This window comes from Homo sapiens, chromosome 16, assembly GCF_000001405.40.
Source record: "Homo sapiens chromosome 16, GRCh38.p14 Primary Assembly".
NCBI lineage: Eukaryota > Metazoa > Chordata > Mammalia > Primates > Hominidae > Homo > Homo sapiens.
The window spans coordinates 77,530,286-77,542,606 of record NC_000016.10 but is presented as its reverse complement, the minus strand read 5'-3'; the positions used below and the strand labels follow the sequence as shown (position 1 = coordinate 77,542,606).

The 12,321-nt window shown below is 39.2% G+C and overlaps 1 annotated feature.

The window, feature by feature from the left end:
* Positions 964-1,542: an enhancer, noted in NCBI's record as "OCT4-NANOG hESC enhancer chr16:77574962-77575540 (GRCh37/hg19 assembly coordinates)". NCBI's record gives its function as "activates a minimal SCP1, AML or CMV promoter by ChIP-STARR-seq in primed H9 embryonic stem cells {active_cell/tissue: H9 hESC(primed)}" and the evidence as "EXISTENCE:reporter gene assay evidence [ECO:0000049][PMID:30033119]".

Below are 12,321 nucleotides of genomic sequence, written 5' to 3'. Positions count from 1 at the left end.
AATAGTGCACAACATTTGGCATATTATAGGAACTCAGATATTGGCTGACATAAGTGAATGAATTTGAAAACATTTGGCAACATCTCAGATTTGTGACATACCTTATATTTTATATTTTTCCTTGATGCAAAACACATCTCATCCTGAATGATCCTTTTTTTTTTCCACTACAATTTCATTGCTCAATAATTTTCTCTCAAAGCCTCCATGTCTATTTGGTCTGGCCTTATAGTAATAATAATATCTCACATTTGTATATTTCTTTAAAGTGTATAGATTGTTTGGCAGCCCTATTTAACATCTCCATCAACCGTAGGATGCATTTAAAACATGTGGTATATTCATACAATAGAATATTATACAACCATGAGAACAACTGATTAAAGCTACTCACAACAATTTGGTTGAATCTGAGAAACGGGAGTGAAGGAAGGGGACACAAATTATATTGCGTGATCCCTTTCCTGTAAAGAAAGAAGTGCAACTAATTTTCAATAGTTACCTCAGGATAGTGGTTGCCTTTGCTGGAGCGAGGGATTGGAAGGGGACACAGGGAGCTTCAGGGTCATGTTTTGCTTTTTGATCTAGTTGCTGGTTACATGTGTAAATTCGGTACAGGGAAATTCACCAAGCCGTGCACTTGTTAAAGGCACACTCTCTACATGTATGTTTTACGTCCATAAAAACTTTGTAAATTGCTTTTCTGTACGTGACTTTATGTAATTTCTACTTCAACCCTGGGAGATTTGACAAGGCAAGTATTTTTTATTTCATTATAGAGAGGAAGAAAATGATACTTGGACAGTAGATGCTTTCACAAAGCTTACATTTGCAGCACATGTTATCGCTGCGATTGAAACCCAGGTGTTCTTAGTCTAGAAGTCTTTCTCCCAGACTATCTTATCCTCAGTAGGTAACAAAATACCATTTAAATGTGCACATCTCTCAGAGGCCCATAAGGAGTGGAGTGAATGATGGAAAAATTAGGTGACTGCTGAGGGTCTAATCTTGGATCGGGAAAGCTTACTGATACCCCAAAGCCCACCACGTTGATAACCATCTGCTTGGTTGTCCCACATTTCTAGCTGAGATAGAATGAAGAGATTTATCATGGAGGGCCCTCCTCCTTGTACCACCTCCCACAATGGCTGCCAATTGCTGTTTAGGGAGATGCAAATGAATCCCAAAGACTGAGGCAATGACAATGAGGACATATGCAGAATAAGATACAATTGAGCAGACGTTAAGCAGCTGGAATCCTCCTTAGCATATCCAGTCAGGTCCCAGATGAACTGATTCTACATTTGTGTTCTTTGGTTCAGCACCCCATGTGCTAATCTTTGCAATGGGACGGCAGAGCAGAGCCCTGGCTCACACCTCATCACAGAGGCCTTAATGGAGGAGAAGAGATTTAGCAAGACTCTTTAAAGACACAAGGGGCTTGGTGGTTGACAGGAAGAAAGAGGTTCCAGATGTAAATATGCTACAGGAGTGGCCTGAGTTCACAGGAAAGCTGATGATTCCGTGGATTGACAGGCACATAAAGGAACAAAGAGCAATATGAGAAGTTTGTTTCTGAAGATGGAAAATCTATGAAGATAGAAAATGAGATTATATTTTAAGGTGCAGAGCTTGAGCCTATCAACTGCAGGCTGGATCTCGAGTCCTGTTTACTTCCAGACCAGTGCTTTCTGTTTTAATCACCTGCTGTGTGACCACAAGCAAGTTATTCCATCTCTCTGACCACAAATATGGTGGTTGTATACTCGAGCTTGTGGTCATGCCTCTGGTGGAGTTTGACAATGCATCCTAGCAACCAAAGCCTGTTTGTGGATAAGGAACAGAAAAACAAGTTAGAGAGATCATAAAAATATGTTCCATTGTAGAAAAAAAAAAAAGAACATTCAACACTTTCCTTAACAAAAACAATGGATATGTACCTCAAAATATTTGACAGATTAAGTCTAAATAGAATCCTTATTAAAGATAAATGCATGGCATTCTTTTAACTCCCTCTTTTTAGGAATTGAAATGATTTTTATTTGCTTTTGTGTTGCTTCATTTTCTTACTATTTTCTAAAGTTGCATTGTGTCATGGGACTTCACTTGGACCCATTTTTTTTGTGTGTTGGCTTTGCTGAAGAGGAATATTTTTTGTTTTTTTGAAAATTGAGGTTTTCTGAAATCTGGTTTTATTTCTCAATAAAAACACAAAAATTCATATTTTGATTTTATTTTCTTATGTATCTGCTGGTTCTTCATGGGTGTTAATAAAAAGTACCCTAGGTAATAAAGAAAAATGCACTATGCCCCTTGCAGAGATTCACTAATCAGAGTTCGTATTCCTTTCACACAAATATTCCAACATGCCACGTTTTCAACATATTTAGAGCAGCCCAGCACACATTTGTAGACATTCATCTTATATTTCGAGTAGGATGCCTTTGCTCTCGCCCTTAAGTCTTGCATAGCTCCAAGCTTATGTTTTTACCTCTGGATGGCTTCAATCAGCATGATAGACATGAAGGCACCGGCTGTTGAAAGTGGGTTCTCCTCTGCTGGACTGCTGCTTACTTTGGCTTTATCTCTCCCTTGCAATCTCATATTTTATTAAGTGCATAATTTTCTATCAGCTTCAGACACCAGAGTCACCAACTGAGAAAAAAGCTGGGAGGCCAGTCTTTGACAGTGGTAAATTTCACTGTGCTTTAAAAAACCCCAACCAACACACACCATATGCTGCCATCTGAAGGAAGACTTATTTCATCGTTTAGACTTTATGGCCTTAGATTTCAGCATGACATGAGTGATGTGGAAGGGAAGTACATTTGGATGATAAGATGAGGATAATTTGTACTGGGAAATTATTCACAATTGTGATAAATAATCCCTGGCACACAATAACAGAAAATCTCAACCCTTGAACTGAATTATATATGTTTGTGTCTCATAAACAAGGTAGAAAATACATTTTTTCAACTGATGTGTTTGCAAAGTCCTCTCACTTCCAAGCTACCCTCGTTAATAATCATAAAGCAGCATATTTCCAAGCTCTGAATCACATTAATCTCTCCACATGTGACCCGATCATGCACTTTGGGAAAATGGATGGGATGCAGTTGCCTTTGTGTGTACTATGTGTTTTTTGTCATTTTCCTGGTGGCTGGCTTGGAAATGCAGAGTCTGGGAGAATGATGGAGAAACCAGGAAGATAAAAAATGAATGTTGCAAGAAAATTGGACTTTTTGTGGTTAATCACTAAAACAATGATGGAATGAAAAGATAAGGGTGTTTTCCCCCCCTTCCCGTACTACACATCAGAGAAGGTGAGAAGGGAATGATGTTTCTGTTCTTACTCACAAACCTTACCATCATATCTGGAAAAGTTAATAGGGAGACATAATAGGACTTTTTTTTTTTTTTTGAAAGCCTTTGCTTATAAATGCTATAGAGTTGGCTTTTCCAAGAAGGTGAGGTTATCCAAGGGTTGGCGGACAGGGGAATGCCTAAATGCAAGAAAGAATGTGAAGGTTCTTCAAGAAACAGAGGGGGGTAGAAGTGGGAAAGAGAATGGTGGAGTGAAGCAGAGGAAAGATAAGATGAACAGGCAAGGTAGGCTTGTGCCTCCCATCAAGGCTGCCCCTGGAAGAGAATGGATCTTGGATGGTACATGGAGACTGTTACATCATTGGAGGTTGGATACTACGTTTGGAGCCTTGATTGCTTTTAGGCTTCAGGTCAGTAGAGAAGTCTGCTGAGAGGAGTCTTTCTGTTGGGTCTTGCTGTGCTGTACTGCTTATAGACGAGCAGTGCCCAACAGGAGCATGGGTGACCTAGCAGATGGAGCAGGAGTGATGCTGGAAACCATCACAATGGATCACGAGCAGGCTCTAAACATGTCTTCTTAGCACCCCCTATACCCTGCCCCTCTTCCACCAGGGCAGCTCTGCTTCTTTCTGCTTATTATTTGAAGGTGCTGTATAAGACTTTAAAGAAAGGATCCTTTAAATAAATACCAACATTTGGAAGCCATTGATTGAGTTCAACCTCTGTATTTATCAGAGATAAAAAATGAATCCTAAAAAGATTATTTCCCCTCCATACAGTAGGTGAAGGGAATACAAAGCCACTGAAGTATCCTCAGAATAACACAAAGGGGTGGGAAGAGAGGCATGGGAGGGACAGGTGATGCTGTTTTGACCCAGTACAGGTTATCATGGGGACCAAATGAGATCAAGTGTCCAAAATCACTTAGTACACAATCAAGCTTTATTACTTCTGCTGCTTACCTGAGCCAAATCATTCATATGTATGTATTAATCACTTACAACAATGGTATATAATCTGTTCTGCGTGACAACAAAAATGGACGCGATGAAATTCACATTTCAAGACACTTATGATGGAATGCTTTCAAGTTAAATTCTACAATCTTACATAAAAAGAAATACTGTCTGGAGCTCAGTGCAAAAAGGAAGAAACTTTGGTTTTATAGAAAGAGTTCACCTGTGCTGTAGAGGGCAAGCAAAGTATCAGGTAACCACGGGAGGAGAGGAGGGTTTGAGTCAAGTGCTGAAGATTTGCTAAGTTTTGGCTAGAATCTGGAATCTCTGAACTAGAAGAAGGTCTGGGGACCTCTAGTCCAATTTGTTTGCAACTGTAGGACATTCCTGGGTGTGATCATATGGGAATTGTCTGCTTGAGCCTTTTAGGGAACCTAGATGATGATATTGCCAGGTACCATGCTAGGTTCTTCCCTTTTATAAAAGGCAACATTATGAAGCTGTGATTATCTCCATTTCATAGGAGGACAAAGGTCAGGGATGTTCAGTGACCTGTTGGGTTTGGCTAAGCTGTAAGGTTAAGTTTTGCAAGAAGAGCTGAGGAGTTAGGAGTTGATACTTTGGAATCAGACAGGGCTGCATTTAAATCCTGGTTTTGCTACTACATAGTTAGACAATTTACATAATCCCTCTGAGCTTCAGTTTCCTGGTGTGTAAAATGGGTATGATCATCATAAATCCTGCACAGAGTTATGAGAATTAGAGTTAGTAGACAATGTTGTAAAGCACTTAGAAAAGTATGTGGCATGTTAAGGACTTGACAAATAATGTGTTTCCACTCTCATGGACAGAAAAGAAAGAAACATAGACTGGAGGCTACAAATTCATATGTGGCTTTGAGGAGGGAAGTGCCATTATAAGAAACAAGATTTGGTTTTAAATGCTAAGTCTGAATGTCAAAGCTTGTCTCTTGCCCACAGTAATGAGCTTGCATTTGTCTGTATGTTTTGCTCAAGGTTTCTCAAGTCCAGCACTATGGGTATTTGGGGCTGGATAAATTCTTTCTTGGAGGGGTTTGCAGGGGTGGAGGCTGTCCTGTGCATTACAGTATATTTAGCAACATCCTTGGCCTCTGCCCATTAGATGCCGGCAGTACATCCCCCAACCCCCGTGACAATCAATACCGTCTGCAGACATTGTCGAGTGTTCCCAGGGAACAGAATTGACCCTGGCTGAGAACCATTTGTCTATCCATTGCCTCTGTTCCTTCTACTGCAGCAGTCCATGTAGCTCCCCTGTGAGCATTTTGGCCCAGACTCTCCTAGCAGCTCACAGCTGGAAAGTCCTTGCACAGCTTCCCCAGGAATATACAATAACTCAAACCAAGACTGTCTTTTTTCCCTTAATTCTCATGATTGCACAGTGTTGCTTTTCAGTTTTCAACTCTGGGAATTTATCTTTTCTCACTCGCCAAAGCCACAGCTGAGAGCAAGCAGCAGAAACTGATTAACACTGTCTGTCCAGGCTGAAGCTATTGAACAATTACAAGGTATATATGTCCCGAGTACAGTCTGAACTTACTATATGAACCCAGTTAAAGACAACATGGTTTGTATTTTTTACCATACGAATTTCGTGGGGACTATTTTTCTTCATTTTGTTTTCTTTTTCAGCTATTAGAAAAACTAACAGTCTTTGTCTTCATGTCCTCTTGTTCTTCTCTTTGTGTCATTTAAAATAATTACTGGGAATTTCAGTGAGGGGTTAGGGAGGTTTTTAAAGAGCCCACCTGGTTTAGACATGTCTGTGTGGATGTTGAGCACAGTGTAGTTCTCAGGGGCATGAGGCACACACTTTAAGATCAGGTTCCTTGTCTTGGTGGGGAGAAGAAAACCTGGATGGATATACATTTGGGGAAGAGCTGGAGGGCCTTAATATTAGTTAAGCACCAAGCTAAGCCTCTCACTCTGTTGTCTTATTCATCCCGCACAGGGTATTATGTGAAATGGAAATGATAGTAATTTATACTATAGAGAAAGTGAATAAGGCTCAGATAGAGAGATTCACTGACCCTATATTACACAATTTATAATCCCAGCTGGGATTCAACCGCACGCTCTCTGATGCCAAAGCCTGTACTCTTTGCAGCAATCAACAGGACCTCTACAGAGATGAAGGCTGATGTATTAGGATTTTATCCAGCCTGTTCTCACCCTTCCTTTCCTTTCCTTGATCCCTAATAGCATGCAAATTCTGAAATCTATGGTATATTCCTCTGTATACTCCCCCAGGAGGACCAAGTAGAGATTTTGGCTAAATCACAGGAGGATTGCAAATGACCAGGTAGGCAGGTCAAACCTTGCCTCATCTTGACTGACTTACTATCCTGCAGCTTCAAGATTTACTGATAATGGGTGGCCAGGAGAGGTGCAGAGTCTGGACAGATAGAAAATCAAGGATTTGAATACTTGCAATTTGAATCCAGGTCTACATGACCCTTGGGAAGTTATCTTAATTTGCTCATCTTTGAAATGGGAAAGATGATCCTACTTTGTAAGTTGGGAGAGCACCCAGGACAAAGGAGATGCTCCATAAATGGCTGTCTCCTTCTGCTCCACCTCCTTATTATGACGAGGCATCTTTACAGGTTTCTCCACCCACCTCTTCACACCTGCAGCCTGAACCTCAGCCCTGAAGGCCAGGGATGATGTATTTCTTCCTCACTGCATCAATACTATTTGAAGTCCCATCAATGACTCTAGATGCTTCCAAGAAGCAGGCTCTTTTTCCATGACTCGCTGCCCTCCCAACCTTTGTCCCCTTCCAAGTTTGGGGCACCCTGTCTCTCCCAAGGTCAGCAACTACTTCTCCAAGCTTTCCCTCTCCCTCTGCTTCCTGTTTGTAGCAGCCTCATGTACTCTATTAGGTGAGCTCCTACAAACACCACATTGTCTCCCCTTTCTTGGGACTTGGGGCAGTCAAAAGAGATACTGACCATTGCTTGTTTTTTCTTTTTATTCACATTTGAATGAACAAACAAACCTGTTTGTTTTATGACAGTGACCACAGACAACAGAGAAGAAATCATGTCTCCTGATGCAAACATGATACGGTCAGATATGGTCTGACCAAGAAATGTTTCCAACTTATTTTTATTTAATAGAACAGACATTGCAAAATGTAGCATATTCTCTTTTTCAGGCACTGTTCTAAATACCTGATGCATTTTAACTCATGTCATCTTCATAAGAAAGCCAAAGAAGTAAGCTCTTTGATTGTCTCCATTTTACAGATGAGGAAACAGATGTGAGAGGTGAAATAACTTGCCTGAGGAAACACAGCTCAAACTGGAACTGACTCCTAAGTCTATGATTTTAACCTCTATGCATATGTAATCCTTGTGAAGATGGTTCTATGAAAAGTCCGTAACAACATACAACCCATTAATTTAGTACCAGATGTAAAATGTGATTTAACTGCCTTATTGAAAAGAATAAACTTGCATGAAATTGAGACCTGACTGTTCCATTTCTAGGAAATTGTCCTTCTTGATGTGTTTGAGCCAGATCTGAGAGCTTCTGCCAGGAGAGCAATTAGAACTTGCAGACTCCCACTGAAGTCCCATTTAGCTCCGTGTGTCTGGGGGAGGAAACCAAGGCAGCTCATAGCAATAACTTCATTGAGTTGTTACCCTGTTGATACCTTTCTATTCATCAGGCTTGCAAAGGAAGCAGAGAACTCTGTTTCCCTGCCTTCCTCATTCCCTCACCTCCCCAAAAACATACACCCACCGCCACTGCCACGTCCTTTATTTCTCTACTCTTTTTTTTTTTTTTAGATGAAGTCTAGCTCTTGTTGCCCAGGCTAGAGTGCAGTGGCGCAATCTTGGCTTACTGCAACCTCCGCCTCCCAGGTTCAAGCTTCTCCTGCCTCAGCCTCCTGAGTAGCTGGGATTACAGGTGCCCGCCAACACACCTGGCTAATTTTTGTACTTTTAGTAGAGACGGGTTTTCACCATGTTGACCAGGCTGGTCTCGAACTCCTGATCTCAGATGATCCACCCACCTCGGCCTCCCAAAGTGCTGGGATTACGGGTGTGAGCCACCGCGCCTGGCCTATTTCTCTACTCTTTCTCCTTTACTCTGCCTGGATGGACACGGCCAAACAGATTCATGAGTTTTGTCTGTGAATTTCATTAGTTGGTCATTTATTAAACTCTCAAATCTCCCAAATAAAATTTATTAGAATTAAATGATTAAACATAAAACAAAATTATAAAACATTTATTTATTCTTATTTTAGAAATGATACGTTTTTTCCCCCCCCCAAAACTCATTTAAGTGTTTGGGGAAAAAAAGAATTCAAAGAGAGAACAAAAATTAACCATAGTCCAACCAGTCAGAAACATTCACTGCTAACAGTTGGGAGTGAAGTGTTCTCCCAATCCCTAGAATTTCTCTCTCTCTCTCCCCCACAACACTCTCTCTCTCTCTCCATGTGTATCATACAATTTTAATCAGTATCCTATTGTGTATGCTGGTTTGAATCCTGATTTTTTCATCCAACTTTTTATCAATAGCCGTTTGCCATTTCATGAAATAGTCTGTTAAAATATCCTCTTGGATGGCCTACCTGATGAACCATAATGTTTAAACAATTGCTCTACTTGTTAGATGTCTAGATTGTTTCCCATGTTTATGCCAAAATAATAAACATTTTTCTACATATATCTCTGTCTGAGTTTTTTCCCCTTTCTTTGTCTGTGTAAATATTTTTGTTACAAAAAGATTTAAGTTTAACTTTCTTAGGATAGATAGATTTAGAGGAAAGCAAGGGACATGAGTTTTTTTTGAAGGATTTTATGCACGTTATAAATTTTTTTTTCTGGATAATTTCTATCAGTTTGCACTCTTATGAAAAGAGAATAACCGTATCTATTCCAGTCTTCTTTTGCCCAAACTGACCATTTCAACTTTTAAAAGCTTAGTTTATTTGATAAGTAAAAAAGAAAATCTCATTTCAATTTTTCATTTTCTAAAAAATTTGAGATTTTGAGGCTCTTGTTATCAATTTTGATGAGTACATTTTCTAGTTTACCTATAGCTGTATTCATTAATTTCACCATGTTTTCAGGTAGGAAAATCGACCAATGATCCTTCATAATGAATTTTAAAATACCTATGCCAAAGAGCATCTTGGTGAAATTTAGAAATAGATACTCTCTTTGTCACCTTTTTGAAAATGCTCTAAGTTAGATATCGTAACTTCTGTGTTGATACTGTCACTTGTCTGAGGAAATAGATATATCTCCCTTCCTTGTGCCTGTTTGTCTTTTCAGTTTATTTTCTTGAAGACTTCCTTAACCTTACTGTAGACTCTTCTGGGGATGGGGATGGACAGACATACTTTTTAATTTCTCAAGGCATTTTTTGTTCTCTGTTGTTTTTTTTTTTTGTGCATTTTTAACCGATGTTTATTCTTATCTTTTGACTTTTAAATTCAGGGATACAAGTGCAGGTCTGTTACATACAAAAATTTCATGACAAAGACAACAAAAGCAATTAAAACAAAAGCAAAAATTGACAAATGGGGTCGAATTAAAATAAAGAGCACCTGCACAGCAAGAGAAACTACCAATAGATTAAATGGACAACATACAGAATGGGAGAACATTTTTGCAAACTGCTTCTGACAAAGGTCTAATATCTAGCATATATTAGGAACTTAAACAAATTTTGTGCATGTTTTATTAATATTCTAAGTTTCAAATCTCACAGAAACGTTAACAAGAATTTGCTTTTAAAATTCTCTTTTGTTCTCTGCATTATCTGTTTTCCCCAGGGTCATTTCTTTTTTTATTTTATTTATCTTCTCTAGTTTTTGAGAATATGGAACCCTTTTCTCAACTATCTAATGATTGAAATTTAATATCAATTTAAAGTTCTGGGTATCAGGGTGAAGTGATCAATCAGTGAGTAGCCATCACACTGGGGAGTGCTAGATACTATAAAGTGAAGAAAAATAAGGTTTTCTGTAAGGAAGGATGACATCTGTACATAGAATTTTAATTAAGGTCTTTTTCCATCACCCATCCCTCCATTTTCAACCTATTTATTCCTCCAGCTCTTAATGATACCTGGTATTTATAGGTCTCAAGACTGCACAAGGTTCTGTTAGGCTAAAGCTTTCCTCTTAGGCAGGTGCCCCATTCACATATCTGAGCTATAGCTTCTTTCACCCTGCACAGCAGATGTCCCTGGTCCCTAGACTCAGACCCATTCAGCCTCATCAGTGATGTTGGCTGTGGACAGTTTGTGTAGTTTTGGACTCAGTTCACACTGACGGTGACTCATCTTTAGCATGAGTAATGGGACTTGCATTTTTTTTTTTTCCCAGAGTTTCTCATTGTTTGCAGATGCAACAGGTGCTACTGATTAAGGGCAAGAAGGTTTTGAATTCATGAGTATTAATGTCACCACAGACAGACTCAACCAAATGGGGGATGAGAGTAAATGGAATGATACTTCTCTTGGCCAATCCTTGAGTAGGCAATATATTCTATGCCATTCTAAAAAAGATCTGGGTAAGATCGAGTTTCAAGTGTCCTTAGTGGCGACCTTGATGACTTTCATGACACTGTTAACATGGGCTTTCTTCTTCCCCCAACTTTTCCTGGGTGCTCACTTCTGCTCCCTGAGACTTCAACTGCCTCAAGTCCTTGTCCCAAACCTTACTGTCAGGGGAAACCTCAATAATTACTGTTCTATCCTCTCTTTTCTTTGTTTCCATATGTTTTCCCGAGGACTCCTCTCCCATTCTCTTTTTTTGTGGAAACATTTAGGAACAATGTTTACTATGATTTTGTTGTAAACTCAGCAAGAAGAGTTTTGAATATAGATGTTATTAAATCTATTAATATTTTCTTTGTACATTTAAAAATTGCTTTTGAGTTTAGAACATATGTCACTGTTCACCTATTACAGATACAGGATTTATGTCCATTTCTGTAGGGGAAACGAAGATACATAATTCACTTTGTTTGACTCAGAAAATGTTGGTTGAATTAATCAATATACTCTCAATGTCTTTCAGCCAAAGTCTGTTGGAAACATAGCTGTATTGACAAAGTTGGGTTTACTAAGTTGTTGTGATGACGGTGAATGCACTTCATACAAAACTGTGGGTTTTCTCAGAAGTTGCTTGAAAAGACTTACAGACTTGTATTAGGTGATTTGGGGGAGGCTTCAAGGAAGTGGTCTTTACCCTGGATTTGATGCTCTCAGGATGGAAGGTAATTCTACGATTGGTTTTTATTTTATTTTATTTTTTAATTTTTTCATCCATAGTAAGGTTTTATTCAGTGATTTTTTTCCTTTTTTAAAAAATTTAAGTTCTAGGGTACATGTGCACAACGTGCAGGTTTGTTCAATTCCCACCTGTGAGTGAGAACATGCACTGTTTGGTTTTCTGTCGTTGTGATAGTTTGCTGAGAATGATGGTTTCCAACTTCATCCATGTCCCTGCAAAGGACATGAACTCATCCATTTTTTATGGCTGCATAGTATTCCATAGTGTATATGTGCCACATTTTCTTAATCCAGTCTGTCATTGATGGACATTTGGTTGGTTCCAAGTCTTTGCTATTGTGATTAGTGCTGCAATAAACATATGTGTGCATGTATCTTTATAGCAGCATGATTTATAATCCTTTGGGTATATACCCAGTAATGGGATTGCTGGGTCAAATGGTATTTCTAGTTCTAGATTCTTGAGGAATCGCCACACTGACTTCCACAATGGTTGAACTAATTTACACTCCCACTGACGGTGTAAAAGCGTTCCTATTTCTCCACATCCTCTCCAATATCTGTTGTTTCCTGACTTTTTAATGATCAGCATTCTAACTGGCATGAGATGGTATCTCATTGTGGTTTTGATTTGCATTTCTCTCATGATCAGTGATGATGAGCATTTTTTCATGTATCTGTTGGCTGCATAAATGTCTTTTTTGAGAAGTGTCTGTTAATATCCTTTGCCC